Genomic DNA, 18,705 nt, shown 5'->3' with positions numbered 1-18,705 from the left:
CCAGGGTTGCTTTCCACTGTGACAAGGCAGCACTGAGTTCTAATGTAAAGTCCCACAATCACTGCACTCTCCTTCCCCCAAGCACACCAGTTCTCTCTCTGATCCACACGGCTGCTGGTGGGGAAGGGGTTAGTGGCATCAGCAATTCAAGACTGTCTTTTGTACTCTCTTCAGTGTCTCTTTCTGTAATATGAAGTTAAAACCAGGTACTGTGATTACTCACTGTATTTTTGGTTCATATGAAGGTGATTTTTTGTGTGGATAGTTGTTCAATTTGGTGTTCCTGTGGGGAGGACAATTGGTGAGGTCTTCTATTTTTGGCCATCTTGCTCTGCCTTCCTAGATATTAGATTTTTTTTTTTAAGTTTTAAATCAAAGTAAAAACATGCACATAGTTTTAAAAGTCAAGTAATTATACAAGGCTTATAATGACAAACAGTAATCCTCTGCCCCATCTCTGCCCACACTGGTCCCTACTCCTCTGAGACAACCATTTTCAACTCTTATAGTTGTTTCTTCTACAATTTATGTATTGCCCAAATAACATGTTTCTATCACCATGATTTACCTTCCCAGCTTTGCTTATTCACTTCCTGCTATGGAAGATGAAGATTTAGATTTCTTTATATATACTCCCCCAGACTTCCTTTCCCACATTTTCCTAGTATAGTTAAATGACAATATTTTGTTAAATTAATGCTCAATATTTATAATATTATGACTTAATATTATTGACAGTTGTGCTTTGTATTCATTGATTGCATTTTTTTCCTGGTTAAACTTTTTGTTTTTCCTGGAGTCAATAATTGCTCCACTTTGGAGTGCTTAATTTTCTATGAACCTATGATTAATTCATCTCCTAATACTCTGACAGAAGAGAATTTCCTCTTAGTGAGTTCTAACACATCAGCTAAGCTATAAATTTCATTATTCTTGGCGCTGTCCATCCTGAAGCTTCTGCCCTGCTGCTCCAAGCTGGAGGAGGCCTGCTGCTATGTAATCATCACCCTGGAATTCCCCTTCACTATCATCCTGGGAATAGCCTTCCTCTTTTTCCTGTGTTGAATGCTCTATTTTCTGGATTTGGTGCTTACGAGGGACAGAGCAAGTATAACTGACCAAGGCCTACTCCAAGAACTCTGTAGTGTAATGATAGGAAATTGCCCCACACCAGAGCATATCAATGTGAAATGGCAGAACACTGGGGGAAAAGGCAAGATCTGAAGTTTCCAGAGAGGAAAAACAAATCACATGAAAAAGAATCAGGAATGAGAATAGCATGGAGTTCTCAACAGTAGCACTGGAAGCCAGGAGACAATGAAACTTTGCCTCCAAAATTCTGAGAAAAAAAAGAGTTGCCAACCCAGAATTCTGTACCACCCAAACTACTATTCTAGAGGCAGTGTTGAATAAAGACAGTTTCACATACCATAGATTTCAAAATCTTGCCTCCTGCGCTGGCTGTGTTCCATTGGCTTCCACATCCTCTCTCAGCCCTTCAACTGGCTCTGAGGTCTAAGAGACAACTTTGATAGATGGCATCAACCTGGCTTCTCTGCACACCAGCTTTTGGTTGTGTTCAACCAATGGGAAGAACAGTGGGAAATCAGAGGGCAAGAGGAGAGAGAAGTCGAGTTATTTATTTTCTCTGCTTTCTCCCTACTGGCAGAGCTACTGCCCCCCTCCAGTGACAGTCAAAGTGTCTGCGACAGTGGCCCTCTTGACTGTGATGGTGGCCCTCTCCTACAGCGAGGGCTCACATCACATTCTGGTCATACTCTCTCCCCTGGCCTCTTCAGGCTTTGAGGGCAACAGCCATCTGCACTTGCTCGCCCCAAGATACATCATGCCCTTGGTTGATTTTCTTTCACCCTTCCCACACTTTACAAAATGGTCCCTTCTTTAAACGCTCCTCACTGGCCTCTTTTGCATTGGCCACAGGCTTCCTATTGGAATCCTAACCAGTTTATCTCCCATGCACACTTTGTCAAAAATGACAGCACAATCAAGCCGGGAGTCAGAAGCCTTAGGAATCAACCTGTTGCTCTATTCTATAGCAGCTGAGCTGGCACCCAAGCCACAAGACAAAGTCCTTCCCCCTCTTCCTTTCCCTTTGCTCAAGCAGAGGAGTCTCTCCCTGTGGCCACCAGTGCCCCAGGCCCACGGAAAGTACTCCCTGGCTTCTGCTGATGTTCATTCAAAGCCTAAGGGCTCTTTGGTCAGCTTGTGGTGAATGCTGCGAGGTGTGGGACTCTCCCTTCAGGGCAGTGGGCTCCCCTCTGGCCCAGGGAAGGTCCAGAAATGCCATCTAAGAGCTAAGGTCTGGAATTGGGGACCTCAAGGGCCCACTTGGTCAATCTGGTACCTAAGCTGCAGGACAAAGTTCCCTTTACTCTTCCTTCTCCTTTTTCAAGCAGAAGGAGTCCATTCCTGCAGCCACCACAGCTGGGAATGTGCTGGGTCACACATTAAGCCAGCACATCTCTGAGTCTCACCCAAGGCCCATGGTGAGTCCTGCCTGGGTACTGCTGCTGATCATTCGGGGCCCAAGTGCTCTTGAGTGAACAAGTGAAGAATCCTGCCAGGACTGGGTTCTTCCCTTCAAGGCAGTGGGTTCCCTTCTGACCCAGGGTGTGTCTAGAAATGTCATCCAAAACCTAGGACCTGGAATAGGGGCCTCAGGACTCTGCCTGGTGCCCTATCCTACTGTGGCTGAACTGGTATCCAAGTTGCAAGGCAAAGCCCTCTTTTCTCTCTCCTCTCTTGTGGAAGAAATGACTTTCTCCTGGAACTGCAAGCTATGCTGCCTGCAATTGGGGAAGGGATGGCAAAAGCACTACCTTGGCAGCCCCAGCTGGTGTCTTATTAAGTCATGTGCCCCCCATGTCCACTGGCTTCAAGCCCAGCATAGCATCAGGACTGTCCCCAGAATTGCAGTCCTCATGGCCTTGACTGTCTTTGAAGTTTACTTAGAACTCCAGAGCACTTTGGCCTGGGGTGGTGAGACTAATGTGAACTGTTTCCAACCACTGGTATGGACAATTCCCCTCTGGTGAGGATTGATCTAAATGCTCCCTGTGGAGCACTGGCTGAGTTCTGCCCAGGGTTGCTTTCCACTGTGACAAGGCAGCACTGAGTTCTAATGCAAAGTCCCACAATCACTGTGCTCTCCTTCTCCCAAGCACACTGATTCTCTCTGGGCCACACAGCTGTTGCTATGGAATGGGGGAGCAGTGCCATCAGCAATTCAAGACTGTCCTTTGGGCTGGGCACAGTGGCTCATGCCTGTAATCCCAGCACTTTGGGAGGCCGAGGCAGGTGGATGACCTGAGGTCAGAAGTTTGAGACCAGCCTGGCCAACATGGCAAAACCATGAGTCTACTAAAAATACAAAAATTAGCCAGGCGTGGTAGTGGGTACCTGTAATCCCACTACTCAGGAGGCTGAGGCAGGAGAATCACTTGAACCTGAGAGGCAGAGGTTGCAGTGAGCCAAGATCTTGCCACTGCACTCCAGCCTGGGCAACAGAGTAAGACTTTATCTCAAAAAAAAAAAAAAAAGCTCAGGCACGGTGGCTCACGCCTGTAATCCCAGCACTTTGGGAGGCCGAGGCAGGCGGATCATGAGGTCAGGAGATCGAGACCATCCTGGCTAACATGGTGAAACCCCGTCTCTACTAAAATTACAAAAAATTAGCCGGGTGTGGTGGTGGGCACCTGTAGTCCCAGCTACTCAGGAGGCTGAGGCAGGAGAATGGCATGAACCTGGGAGGCGGAGCTTGCAGTGAGCCGAGATCGCACCACTGCACTCCAGCCTAGGTGACACAGCGAGACTCCATCTCAAAAAAAAAAAAAAAAAAAAGAAAGAAGAAGAAGAAAAAAGTCTGTCTTTTGTACCCTCTTCAGTGCCTCTTTCTGTAATACGAAGTTAAAACCAGATACTGTGATTGCTTACTGATCAAAAATAATAATTACAACTTTTCAAGACATAGACAGTCCAATGAGATATAGACAGAAATGACAAAAAGTTAAAAAGGAGGGGGATAAAGTGTTGAGTTTTTATTAGTTTTTTTCTTTGCTTGTCTGTTTACGCAATCAGTGTTAAGTTGTCATCAGTTTAAAATAATGGGTTATAAGAGATGATTTGCAGTCCTTATGGTAACCTCAAATAAAAAACAAACAACAGATAAACAAAAAATAAAAAGCAAAAAAGTAAAGTGTACCACCAGAGAAAACCACCTTCACTAAAAGGAAGACAAGTAGAAAGGAAAGAAGGAAGAGAAAACCACAAAACAACCAGAAAACAAATAACAAAGTGGCAGGCATAAGTCCTTACTTACCAATAATAACACTGAATGTAAATGGACTAAACTCTCTGATGAAAAGACATAAAGTGGCTGAATGGATGAAAAAACAAGACCTGGTGATCTGTTGCATACAAGAAACTTACTTATAAAGACACAAATAGGGGTGCGGTGGCTCATGCCTGTAATCCCAGCACTTTGGGAGGCCAAGGTGGGTGGGTCACCTGAGGTCAGGAGTTCGAGACCAGCCTGGACAACATGGGGAAACCCCGTCTCTACTAAAAATACAAAAATTAGCTGGGCATGGTGGCACGCACTTGTAGTTCCAGCTACTTGGGAGGCTGAGGCAGGAGAATTGCTGGAACCTGGGAGACAGAGGTTGCAGTGAGCTGAGATTGTGCCACTGCACTCCAACCTGGGCAACAAAGCAAGGTTTTGTCTCAAACAAACAAACAAAAAAAGATACACATAGACTGAAAATAAAGGAATGGAAAAAGATATTCCATGTCAATGAAAACAAAAAAGAACAGAAGTAACTATATTTATAACAGACAAAATAGATTTCAAGATACAAACCATAAAAAGAGACAAAGAAGGTCATTATATAATGATAAAGGAATCAATTCAGCAAGAGGATGTATATATCTGCATCCAACACTGGAGCACCCAAATATATAAAGGAAATATTATTAGAGCTAAAGAGAGAAATAGACCCCAATACATTAATAGCTAGAAACTTCAACACCCTACTTTCAGCACTGGGCAGATCATCCAGACAGAAAACCAACAAAGAAACATCAGACTTAATCTGCACTAAAAATCGAATGAACCTAATAGATACAAAACATTTCATACAACAGCTGCGGAATACATATTCTTCTCCTCAGCACATGGATCATTCTCAAGGATAGAGTATATGTTAGGCCATAAAATAAGTCTTTAAAAATTCAAGACCAGGTGCAGTGGCTCATGCCTGTAATCCCAGCACTTTGTGTGTGTTTTTTGTTTTGTTTTGTTTTGAGATGGAATCTTGCTCTGTCGCCCAGTCTAGAGTGCAATGGTGTGATCTTGGCTTACTGTAACCTCCGCCCCCTGGGTTCAAGCAATTCTCCTGCCTTAGCCTCCCAAGTAGCTGGGATTACACATGTCCACCACCACGCCCAGCTAATTTTTTGTATTTTTAGCAGAGACAGTGTTTCACCACGTTGGCCAGGCTGGTCTCGATCTCCTGACCTCAAGTAATCCACCTACTTTGGCCTCCCAAAGTGCTGGGATTACAGGTGTGAGCCACTGCACCCGGCCAAAAATCAGTAGCATTTCTGTATGTCAACAGCAAACAATCTGAAAAAGAAATCAAGAAAGTAATCCCATTTACAATAGCTACAAATTAAGTAAAATACATAAGAATTAACCCAAGAAGTGAAAGATCTTAACAATAAAAACTATAAAACATTGATGAAATAAATCAAGATGACACAAAAAATGGAAACGTATTCCATGTTCATGGATTGGAAGAATAAATATTGTTAAAATATTCATATTGCCTAAAGCAATGTACAGATTTAATGCAATCCCTATTAAAAAAAAAACCAATAACATTCCTCAAAGAAATAGGAAAAACAATCCTAAAATTTATATGAAACCACAAAAGACCCAGAATAGCTAAAGCTATCCTGAGCAAAAAGAACAAAGCTGGAGTAATCACATTACCTGACTTTAAATTATACTACAAAGCTATAGTAACCAAAACAGCATGGCATTGGCACAAAAATGGACATATAGACAAATGGAGCAAAATGAAAAACCCTGAAACAAATCCATACACCTACAGTGAATTCTTTTTGAGCAAAGATGCAAAGAATATTGACTGGGGAAAAAACAGTCTCTTCAATAAATGGTGCTAGGGAAACTGCATACCTATATGTAGAAGAATGAAACTAGACCCTTCTCACCATATACGAAAATCAAACCAAAATTTGATCTAAGACTTAAATCTAAGACTTCAAACTGTGAAACTACTAAAAGAAAACACTGAGGAAACTCTCTGGGACATTGGACAGGGCAAAGATTTCCTTCTTTTTTTTTTTTTGTGGTTGTTGTTTGTTTTTGAGACAGAATCTCGCTCTGTGGCCCAGGCTGGAGTGCAGTGGTGTGATCTCAGCTTACTGCAACTTCTGCCTCCCAGGTTCAAGGAATTCTCCTGCCTCAGCCTCCTGAGTAGCTAGGACTACAGGCACACGTCACCATGCCTGGCTAATATTTGTATTTTAAGTAGAGATGGGGTTTCACCATGTTGTCCAGGCTGGTCTCGAACTCCTGACCTCAGGTGATCCAAAATTTCTCAAGAAATACCTCACAAGCACAGGAAACCAAAGCAAAAATGGACAATGGGGTCCATTGGAAATACTCAACAATCCAAAGGAAATAATCAACAAAATGAAGAGACAACCCACAGAATGGGGAAAAAAATGTGCAAACCATTCATCTGACAAGGGCTTAATAAACAGAATATATAAGGAGCTCAAATAACTCAATAGGAAAAAAATCTAATAATCTGATTTAAAAATGGGCAAAAAATCTGAACAGACATTTCTCCAAAGAAGACACACAAAGGTCAAATAGGTATATGAAAAGTTGCTCAACATCACTGATCATAAGAGAAATGCAAATCAAAACTAAAATGAGATATTATCTCACCCCAGTTAAAATGGCTTTTATCCAAAAGACAGGCAATAACGAACACTAGAGAGGATGTGAAGAAAAGGGAACCCTCGTACACTGTTGTTGGGAATGTAAATTAAGACAACCACTATGGAGAACAGTTTGGAGGTTCCTCAAAAAACTAAAAATAGGGGTCCAGCACGGTGGCTCACGCCTGTAATCCCAGCACTTTGGGAGGCCAAGGCGGGCGGCTCACAAAGTTAGGAGATCGAAACCATCCTGGTTGACACAGTGAAACCCCGTCTCTACCAAAAATACAAAAAATTAGCTGGGCATGGTGGCAGGTGCCTGTAGTCCCAGCTACTCAGGAGGCTGAGGCAGGAGAATGGTGTGGACCCGGGAGGCAGAGCTTGCAGTAAGCTGAGATCACGCCACTGCACTCCAGCCTAGGCGACAGAGCGAGACTTGGTCTCAAAAAAAAAAAAACAAAAAAAAACAAAAAACCCACAAAAAACTAAAAATAGAACAACCATATGATCCAGCAATCCCATTGCAAGGTGTATATCCAAAAGAAAGGAAATCAGTATATCGAGGGGATATCTGCACTGTCCTGTTTATTGCAGCACTGTTCACTATAGCCAGGACTTAGAAGCAACCTAAGTGTCTGTCAACAGACAAATGGATAAAGAAAATGTGGTACGTACATACAATGGAGTACTATTCAGCCATAAGAAAGAATGAGATCCTCTAGTTTGCAACAAGAATGGAACTGGAGGTCATTATGTTAGTGAAATGAGCCAGGCACAGAAAGACAAACTTCACATGTTCTCACTCATTTGTGGGAGCTAAAAATTAAAACAACTGAACTCATGGAGACAGAGAGAAGAATAATGGTTACCAGAGACAGGGAAGGTTAGTGGGGGTGGGGGAAAGTGGGAATGGTTAACGGGTACAAAAATATAGTTAGATAGAATGAATAAGATCTAGAATTTGCTGGGTGCAGTGGCTCACACCTATAATCCCAGCATTTTGGGGGGGCTGAGGCAGGTGGGTCGTTTGAGCCCAGGAGTTCCACAGCAACCTTGGCAACATAGTGAGACCTCGTCTCTACAAAAAATTTAAAAATTAGCACATGCTTGTAGTTCCAGCTACTTGAGGGGCTGAGAAGGGAGGATTGCTTGAGCCTGGGAGGTCAAGGCTGAAGTGAGCCCTGACCGGTGCCACTGCACTCCAGCCTGGGCAACAAAGTGAGACTCCGTCTCAAAAAAAAATCTAGTATTAGATAGCACAACAGGGTGACTACAGTCAAAAATAATTTATTGTATATTTTAAAATAGCTTAAAGAGTATAATTGAATTGTTTGTAACACGAAGAATAAATGCTTGAGACACCCTATTTACCCTGATGTGATTATTATGCATTGTATGTCTGTATCAAAATATCTCATGTACCCCATAAGTACATACACCTACTATGTACACACAAAAATTAAAAATTAAAAATAAGCAATTATAAATACATATTGAAAGTATAATAGTATAGTGATAACGAGGAATAAGCAAAAAAGAGACCAAAACAAAAATTCTTAGTAAACAGGCACTGATACTCATCATTATCCTTGAAAACTAGTCAGAGGCAAAAGCACCACTATCATAACCTGAGTAGAGGCCGGAAGAGTGCTGAAGGTGGCAAAGCAAGAATAGAACTCTGGTCAGTTTCTATTAATGGCCATTAATTTTAATGGCAAAAACCACAATTATTCTTTATCAGTATCAGCATAAGGGTGATCTGTAAAACCTTCAATGAGGCCAGGTGCACCTCAGGCCTCACTTTGGGAGGGTGAGGCTGGCAGAACATTGGGAGGGTGAGGCGGGCAGATGACTTGAGGCCAGGAGTTTGAGACCAGCCTGACAAACATGGTGAAACCCCCTCTCTACTAAAAATACAAAAGTTAGCTGGGTTTGGTCGTGGGTGCCTATAATCCCAGCTACTCAGGAGACTGAGGCAGGAGAATCACTTGAACCCGGGAGGTGGAGGTTGGAGTGAGCTAAGGGCCGAGATCACGCCACTGTACTCCAGCCTGGGTGACAGAGTGAGACTCTGTCTCAAAAAAAAAAAAAAAAAAAAAAAAAAATTCAATGTTTTGGTTCATTTCACTGCTCTGATATGCCAGACTAGTTGGTCACAAGTTATACTACTAAAGCTAATAAAATCCAAAACAATTCTCATTTAAAAAAAATTAACTAACCTTATATTAAAAAACTTGGCTGGGCACGGTGGCTCACGCCTGTAATCCCAGCACTTTGGGAGATCGAGGCAGGCAGATCCCAAGGTCAGGAATTTGAGACCAGCCTGGCCAATATGGTGAAACCCCATCTCTACTAAAAATACAAAAATTAGCTGGGTGTGGTGGTGGGCGCCTGTAGTCCCAGCTACTCGGGAGACTGAGGCAGGAGAATCACTTGAACCCGGGAGGCGGAGATCAGTGAGCCGGGATCACGCCACTGCACTCCAGCCTGGGCGACAGAGCGAGACTCCATCTCACAAGCAAAACAAAACAAACAAACAAACAAAAACTCACAATCTTACTATTATCAACACCCATGGACTCTAGGACATAATTTGAGACATTTCCTGTTGAGGCAGTCTTTATTCCATTTGAAGTCACCCTTGGATGAGCATCCCTCTGGATTTTTCTCTGCTTGTGCCCTTCCTACAGAGTCCAGCTCTCTGTAAGTTCAGAAGGCCTTTGAATGAGAATCAAGAGAAACCCAACTAACAGTAGCTTAAAGAGTGGTTTATTTTATCACTGAACAAGAAATCCAGAGGCAAGGGAGTGGTTTACATTGATTCAGCTTCTGGACAAGGCCATCAACACCCAGGCTTTATCATTCTGCTTTGCCATCCTCAACCTATTGTATTTTTATCCTGATGTTTAATGGTTCTCAAAGTGTGGTCCCCAGACAAGCAGCATCAGTGTCACCTGGCAACTTGTTAGAAATGCACATTCTGGCCAGGCACGATGGCTCACACCTGTAATCCCAGCACTCTGGGAGGCTGAGGCAGGAGGATTGCTTGAGGTCAGATGTTCAAGACCACCCTGGCCAACATAGCAAGATACTTGTCTGTTAAAAAAAAAAGAAAGAAAGAGAGAAATGCAAATTCTCAGCCCACTCTAGGTGTATAAATCAGAACTTCTGAGGATAGGGCTCAGCAGTCTCTTTTAAGAAGCCTTCTGGGCCATGTGCAGTGACCTGTAATCCCAGCACTTTGGGAGGCCAAGGAGGGTGGGTCACTTGAGATTAGGGACTCGAGACCAGCCTGGCCAACATGGTGAAAACCCATCTCTACTAAAAATACAAAAAATTAGCCGGGCATGGTGGCAAATGCCTGTAGTCCCAGCTACTCAGGAGGCTGAGGCAGGAGAATCACTTGAACCCGGGAGGCGGAGGTTGCTGTGAGCTGAGATCATGCCATTGCACTCCAGCCTGGGCAACAAGAGCAAAACTCTGTCTCAAAAAAATAAAGAAGCCCTCTGGGTGACTATTCTGGTGCACATTCAAGTATGAGAACTGCTGCTCATGTAAATCACCTCATGGTCACAAGATGGTCACCACAGCTCTAAACATTGCATCATCTTCCAATGAAGGAAGAAGAGAAAAGGAATGTCCCCAATCTTAGCTGTTTCTTTTATCAGGAAAACAAAAGTTTTCCGAGAAGCTCACAGCAGTCTTTCCCTTAAGACTCCTTGGCCAAAACTAGGTTGCATGGCTCAGCCTCTAACTGCAAAGGACACCAGGAAAGCCCTTATGGCAGGAGGCAGCAAGAGAGATGGGTGCTGGACATGGCTGTGGGCAACCCCGGACAATGTCTGCCATAGAGTCCATGGTGGTCAGGACCATGGAAAACGTCATGCCTGACTCCATCTGCAAACGTAGTCTTAGAACTTTCAGATTCTTCAGATGGGAGTACCCAGACATAAAAATTTCATTGTTGTTAATATCTATCAATTGTGGTCGAGATCATTACACATCATGCTAAAATAATCCTTTCCCATCAAAAATGAGGAGGAGGCGCCGCGTGTGGTGGCTCACACCTGTAATCTTAGAGCTTTAGGAGGCCAAGGAGGGAGGATCGCTTGAGGCCAGGAGTTTGAGACCAGCCTGGGCAACATAGCGAGGCATTGTCTCTACAAACTTTTTAAAAAATTAGCAGAGAATGGTGGCTTGCTGCTGTAGTCCTAGCTAAGGTGGGAGGATTGCTTGAGCCTGGGAGTTCAAGGTTGCAGTGAGCTATGATCATGCCACTGCACTCCAGCTTGGATGACAGAGCAAGATCCTGTCTTTAAAAGTAAAAAAAAATAGAAAAACTTTTTAAATTAAAATATTTTAAAATGAGCAAGGGAAACAACAAAGAAGGAAGAAGAGAAAGAAGTGACGAACTCTGCCTTGACAGAGTGGAGTTCTTTTCCGAGCAATCAAGGAGGAGAACATTATAGGCAGAGAGATTAAAATGCATGAAAATGCAGAACTGAAAAAGAACTCTGAGCTGCTAGAGAGGTTACATGTGGCAAGCATTAGGAGAAGCTGGACAGAGGGTGAGGGCCAGATCACGAAAGGCCTTGTATGCTGTGCTGAGAAGGTTGAACTCCACCCTGTTCCTAATATCATTAAAGCTTGGAGGGCATCTTATCCTGGGTCCACAGATGGACTTTGGCACCTTATCAACACTATTTATTTTAAACATTATTTATAATATCAACCCCCTGAAATTGTATGAAAAATTTCATGGAGCTGCTCTGCCTATGGAGTAACTATTCTTTTGTTTCTTTACTTTCTTAATAAACTTGCTTTCACTTTACAAAAAGAAAAAAAAATTCATGGATGTGCGGGTGTGTGCAGTCTTGGGGAGAGAGGGCCTCAGATTTGCAGGGATGTGCATAACCCAAAGAAGCTTAAGAATCTGGCTGGGTACGGTGGCTCACACCTGTAATTCCAGCACTTTGGGAGGCCGAGGTGGGTAGATCACTTGAGGCCAAGAGTTCGAGACCAGCCTGGCCAACATGGTAAAGCCATGTCTCTATTAAAAAAAATTAAAATAGGCTGAGCGCGGTGGCTCACCCCTGTACTCCCAGCAATTTGAGAGGCCAAGGTGGGTGGATCACCTGAGGTTAGGAGTTCGAGACGAGCCTGACCAAATGGTAAAACCCCATCTCTACTAAAAATACAAAATTAGCCGGGCTTGGTGGTGCACGCCTGTAATCCCAGCTACTCCGGAGGCTGAGGCGTGAGAATCGCTTGACCCAGGAGGCAGAGGTTGCAGTGAGCCAAGATCGTGCCATCGCACTCCAGCCTGGACAACAAGAGTGAAACTCTGTATCAAAAAATAAATAAATAAATAAAAATGAAAGAATCATTTCTTTAAGGAGTCAAGGAGTTAATCATTGTATTCTGTATTCATCACCAGAATAAATTTATACTCTGAACAGACTCTAGATCCAGGTTAACTAGAAAAGACAGAGTTCAGACCAGAGCTGAGATTCTATCTTCTTGTCCACAGCGTTTCTTGTGCAATCTGTGCAATGGACAATCTCCAACAAGTGCCAAGACAGATGAGTATCTCCTTTTCCCCTCCTTGTCAGGCCACAGAGTCCCTCCTCTCTCCAATAACCTCTCAGCCCTGCTCTCTGTCACCACTCCCAAATGACGAGAAAGGAGGGAGTAGGACATCTGTGAAGAGAGACCCACCAGCTCCCCATCAAAGCTGGGGTGCTCCAGAAGGCACCAGAAAATGGAACAAGAGAGGATTCTTTTCCAAGGAGAGTAGGACAAGCACAAGGGAACTTCTTGTCTACGACAGGTCCTTGTGATTCTGGGTAAGGAGGGAGATTGTTTGGATCTGCTCCTGACTTTGAGTCTTCAGAGTCTCCACTCTGGAGGCTTACAATTATTATTTGTAATGAGTTAATGAGCAGAATGGGGCAGAATAGTATCACAGGTTTCTTAATCCAAAGATAAATGATTTTGTAAAAATCCCAGTGAACAACATAATTTTAAAATGCTTATTTTAGAAAAAGATATAGAAATTTCTTCACATGACTAAACCTCTTCACTAATGGTGTCAGTTTGGTTCCTTCCAATTAATTCCTGAGTTTAAGAAGCCTTTAGGTGCCACATACCTGAAATCTTCATCCAAATAGACACAAGAGGCCCTTGCTAGGGCCATTGATTTAAGTGGCAACTTCCCTGGATTCACAGGTTGGGGCCCTACTAACTGAAATATATGATTTACATAACTGGATCCTGAACAGGAAGCAGCCCAGATTTGCAAATCACCAGACAAATTCAGTTTTGCACCAGTAATACAGTTTCCTCCTGGTTTTGTCTCTTACTGAGAAATAGATGGGTCACCCATCGTTGCCAGCCCACCCTCTTCTGTTCTGGAAGTTCTCACTGATTCCTGAACCTCTTCTGGTCATGCTTTTATGGTGTCACGCAATAGGGACCTCAGGTTTGCACTCTTCCTCGTGCACGCTTTGCTAATCCCCAACAAGATCTGGTGGGTCTGATCTGATTCCTATGTGTCTGGTACTTGTATACCCTGAGGCACACTTGGGGATGTCCTGTTTGTTCTGTTTGGGTACTCTACTGACCCCTCCTGAAGGCCATGACTCAGGAAACCAGTGACTGCCTCTCTGTTGGCTCACCTGGCCTAGTCTCTGGCACTGATGCTATCTAGCTGTTGGCTTCATCTTATGACCTATTCCATGACCTCAGAGTACTCTGCTGGGCAGCTACTCCATAGCTTCTTGATACTGGGAACACATGGTCACAAACCTGCTCTCCTCACTGGTGGGAGATTCAACCCCACAGCCTCCGGGAGGCCTGGGAGTACTGTCTCCCTAGCCAACCTTGACTCTGTGGAAAGGTGGGAGATGATTCTTGCCTTCTGTCTGACTCACCTGCTCTCTGCCATTTCCAACTGACTCAATGTTGGAGATAACATGTTGGACAAGGTGCTTCTGCAAGTCAACTTAGAAGGAATGGAACACTGATGCTGGGATTGCAGAGAAAATAATCTTGTGGCTGGGCATGGTGGCTCACGCCTATAATACAAGCACTTTGGGAGGCCGAGGCAGGCAGATCACAAGGTCAAGAGATCCAGACCATCCTGGCCAACATGGTGAAACCCCATCTCTACTAAAAATACAAAAAAATTAGCTGGATGTGGTGGCACGTGCCTGTAATCCCAGCTACTCGGGAGGCTGAGGCACGAGAATCACTTGAACCCAGGAGGTGGAGGTTGCAGTGAGCAGAGATGGCACCACTGCACTCCAGCCTGGTGACAGAGTGAGATTCCATCAAAAAAGAAAAAAGAAAGAAAAAAGAAGGAAAAAGAAAATAATTTCGTACCAGCTGTTATGAGGATTCAAAATAATAAAAAGCTCTGCCACTTACTAGCTGTGTGACTTGAGGCAAGATACTTAACCTCTATGTGCCGCAGTTTCCTCATCTGTAACATGAGGATAAAAAGGTGGTTGTGAAAATTAGAAGCTGTATAGATGAGAGGTGTCTGAGAAGTACCTGGGATACTGTACGTGCTCAACAGGGGGTACCTTCGTTATTATTGACTATGAACAGCAGGCCTATTTTTGACCCCAGCTTTATCATTAACGTTACAAAACTTCACAACATCAGCAACCAAAAGCAAAAAGAATAATCTAAGAAAAATTCACAGAAATGAAATTGTGAGAGAATTTAGTAAATTAAACATCCCAATAGGAAAATAGAGAAGATAATATGAGCAAGCACTTTAAAGAAAAACAAAAATGAGGCCAGGCATGGTGGCTTACGCCCGTAATCCCAGCACTTTGGGAGGCCGAGGCAGGTGGATCATCTGAGGTCAGGAGTTTGAGACCAGCCTGGCCAACATGGTGAAGCCCTGCCTCTACTAAAAATACAAAATTAGCTGGGTCTGGTGGCATGTGCCTGTAGTCCCAGCTACTCGGGAGAATGAGGCAGGAGAATCGCTTGAATCTGGGGAGCGGAGGTTGCAGTGAGCAGAGATTGCACCTCTATACTCCAGCCTAGGCGACAGAGGACTCCATCTCAAAAAAGAAAGAAAGAAAGAAAGAAATAGTATTTTATTCTTCTACTGATTTGTATTTCTTTGATTTCTAGTGAGAGCAAATTTTTTCATAAGTTTATTAATTTTTTTTTTGAGGGGGGACAGAGTCTCCCTCTGTCACCCAGGCTTGAGTGAAGCGGCGCCATCTCTGCTCACTGCAACCTCTGCCTCCTGGGTTCAAGCGATTCTCTTGACTCATTCTCTGGTGCACGCCACCATGCCCAGCTGATTTTTGTATTTTTAGTGAAGGCAGGGCTTCACCGTGTTGGCCAGGCTGGTCTCAAACTCCTGACCTCAGGTGATCCACCCACCTCGGCCTCCCAAAGTGCTAGGATTACAGGCGTGAGCCACTGTGCCTGGCCTAAAATTATATTTCAACCTCCATGTTGGCAAAGACTTTTAATACTCCCTGGGCTGGGAAGTAGAAAGCAGGTAACCTTGTATAATGCTGGCAGGGAGGGGGTTGTAATTTGTTAACTCAATTCTGGAGAACAATTCAGAAATACATATCAAACGCCTTAGAATATTGTGTACTCTGTCTGATATTTTGCTTTCAAGAATTCATCCTAAAGCAATAATTATAGTTGAATACAAGGATTTTTTAAAATGTTTTATTTATTTTAAAAAATTATTTTTCTTTTGTAGAGATGAGGTCACGCTATGTTGCCCAGGCTGGTCTTGAACTCCTGAGCTCAAGCAATCTGCCTGCCTCGACCTCCTGAAGTGCTGGGATTACAGGTGTGAGCCACTGCACCCAGCTAGGATTTTTAAAACATTATTTATAATAGTGAGAAATTGAAAACACACCAAAATAAATTTGAAAAAATAGATGAGTATGTAGAATAAATGACCAAAAATTTTTCTAAGCATAAAATCCATGGAATGGAATAAATCTCACACACAGACACACACACACACACATTTAATGTATGTTTTTAAAGATCATAAAATATATTTAAAGGAAAGCAACTAGCTGGAAGAATATGTACCACAAATATGCCGAATTGTTAATATCCTAAAACACTACACTAAAAATGTGTATGCTATACTATAAACCAATAAAAATACCCTCCAACAAAAAAATGAACAAAGAATTATCTGAAGACAGGCCAGGTACAGTGGCTCATGCCTGTAATCCCAGCTACTCAGGAGGCTGAGCCAGGGGAATCACTTGAACCTGGGAGGTGGAGGTTGCAGTGAGCTGAGATTGTGCCACTGCACTCCAGCCTGGGTGACAGAGCAAGACTCTGTCTCAAAATACAAACAAACAATAGCAAAAACCCAAGAATTGTCTGAAGACAATTCACAGAAAAAGTGTAAGTGGTTAATAAACATAAGAAAAATATTTAGCCTTATTACCAATGAAAGAAATACATATGAAAATGAGATTTGGCCAGGAGCCATGCCTGTAATCCCAGCACTTTGGGAGGTCAAGGCTGGCAGATCACCTAAGGTCAAGAGTTCGAGACCAGCCTGGCCAACGTGGTGAAACTCCATCTTTGCTTTAAAAAAAAAAAAAAAAACAAAAACAAAACACACACACACAAACACACACACACACACAAATTAGCCAGGCGTGGTGGTGCACCTGTGGTCCCAGCTACTCAGGAGGCTGAGGCTGAAGAATCGCTTGAACCTAGGAGGCAGAGGCTGCAGTGAGCCGAGATCATGCCACCGCACTCTGGCCTGGGCAACAGAGTGAGACCGTGTCTCAAAAATAAATAAATAAATAAATAAATAAATAAATAAATAGATTTTTAAGCCAGGCCAAGTGGCTCACGCCTGTAGTCTCAGCACTTCGGGAGGTTGAGACAGGAGGATCACTTGAGCCCAGGTGTCCCAGGCTGCAGTGAGCTATGATTGTGCACTCCAGCCTGGGCAACACAGCAAGAGTTTGTCTCTAAAAAAATTAAAAATAAATGAAACAAGATTTTAAAAAACTTATCAAACCAGCAAAAGAAGTTTAATTATAATACCTAATGTTGTTGAATATACAGGGAACTATGCATTTTCATTTACTTGGAAGTTTAAATTGGTTAAAAGTTTTTTTTTTTCTGAGAAACACCAGCAATATATTAAATGATTTTTTAAAAAATCACACTTTTGGTTATGTGCAGTGGCTCATGCCTGTAATCCCAGCACTCTGGGAGGCTGAGACTGGAGGATCTCTTGAGGCCAGGAGTTTGAGACTAGCCTGAGCAACATAGCAAGACCCCATGGCTACAAAAAATTAAAAAGTTAGCCAGGTGTGGTTGTGCACACTTGTAGTCCCAGGTACTCGGAAGACTGAGGCAGGAGGATCACTTGAGGCCGGGAGGTTGAGGCTGCAGTGAGCTGTCATCATGCCACTGCACTCCAGTCCGGGCAACAAAGCTAGACTTTGTTTCAAAAAAAAAAAATCCTATTCTTGTCTTTGAGAACCTATTCTAGCAGTATCCAAAGGACACAATTTATTAAATGCACAATGCATTATGTGTAGTAACTTTCTTCACAGTATTATTCATATTTTTGTAAACAAAGGGGCTGGTTAAATAATGTATTTATATAGGGGTGAAGGGTGAGAGCAGGGAAACCAATTGCATTTTCATCGTCATCTAGCTCCTTGATTCTGGTGGGCATATCAGCTACTAACAGATATAAAAGTGACTTTAAAAGTATATTGTGGCTGGGTGCAGTGACTCACATCTGCAATTTCAGCACTTTGGAAGGCCTAGGTGGGATTGCTTGAGTTCAGGAATTTGAGACCAGCCTGGGTCTCAACACAGCAAGACCTGTCTCTTAAAAAAAAAAAAAAAAAAAAAAAAAAAAGTGATAGAAATACCAGGTCTGAAGACTACTTTCTAATATAATATAATATAATATAATATAATATAATATAATATAATACAATACAATATAATACAATATAATATAATATAATATATAAGAGAAAAGAAAGAAACTCCAGAAACTCCAGCATAATACCTTCCCCTCCTTTCTCCTCCAGCCAAATGCAAATTTAACGTTATATTATAATACACAATAGATGTATTCTAAAATAAAATATTAAAAAACAATGAGAGAGATCTTTATATGCTGATCAGGAAATAAATTCACGACATGTTGAAGAAAAGAAAATTGTGAAAAAAGGTTTAAAAATGAAAATAAAAGGTTGGGTGCATGGCTCACACTTGTAATCCTAGCACTTTGGGAGGCTGAGGTAGGAGGATTGCTTGAGCCCAGGAGTTCAAAACCAGCCTGGGCATTGGGCAACATAGTGAGACCCTATCTCAAAAAAAAAGAAAAATGAAAATTGTGCTTGTGTGTGGTGGGGGTGTGTGTGGATGAATTGATAGAGCGTTTTTAAGAGATGGAAGCATAGATGCTGTTTACTTTTTTTTTTTTTCCTTAGAGACAGGGTCTTGCCTAGGCTGGAGTGCAGTGGCACGATCATGGCTCACTGCAGCCTCAAACTGTTCCACCCTCCTTAGCCTCCAGGGAGTAGCTAGGACTACAGGTGTGTGCCACCATGCCCAGATATATTTTTTAATTTTTTGTAGAGATGGAGCTTGCTATGTTGCCCAGGCTGGTGTCAAACTCCTGGTCTCAAGTGATCCTCCCGCCTTGGCCTCCCA

General features: G+C 42.9%; 1 protein-coding gene across 3 annotated transcripts in view, besides 2 other annotated features; it reads right to left on the bottom strand.

Moving 5' to 3' along the window:
* SMAP2 (small ArfGAP2) overlaps window positions 1-18,705 on the bottom strand; it is a 78,493-nt gene that overhangs the window by 59,461 nt on the left and 327 nt on the right. Inside the window, exon 2 of one of the 3 annotated variants that reach the window (XM_047428009.1) lies at window positions 1,430-1,566. The exons of the other annotated variants lie outside the window; for them this stretch is intronic. Within the exon in view, the coding sequence (XP_047283965.1) occupies window positions 1,430-1,484 (55 nt within the window). The 5' untranslated portion in view covers window positions 1,485-1,566. The remainder of the gene's footprint in view (window positions 1-1,429; window positions 1,567-18,705) is intronic. 3 annotated transcript variants of the gene reach the window in all.
* Window positions 13,217-13,286: an enhancer, noted in NCBI's record as "active region_844". NCBI's record gives its function as "activates an Ori minimal core promoter by ATAC-STARR-seq in GM12878 lymphoblastoid cells {active_cell/tissue: GM12878}" and the evidence as "EXISTENCE:reporter gene assay evidence [ECO:0000049][PMID:35858748]".
* Window positions 13,307-13,376: an enhancer, noted in NCBI's record as "active region_843". NCBI's record gives its function as "activates an Ori minimal core promoter by ATAC-STARR-seq in GM12878 lymphoblastoid cells {active_cell/tissue: GM12878}" and the evidence as "EXISTENCE:reporter gene assay evidence [ECO:0000049][PMID:35858748]".

Source organism: Homo sapiens, chromosome 1 (assembly GCF_000001405.40).
Source record: "Homo sapiens chromosome 1, GRCh38.p14 Primary Assembly".
In the NCBI taxonomy this organism is placed as follows: domain Eukaryota; kingdom Metazoa; phylum Chordata; class Mammalia; order Primates; family Hominidae; genus Homo; species Homo sapiens.
This window is presented reverse-complemented; position numbering and strand designations above follow the sequence as displayed.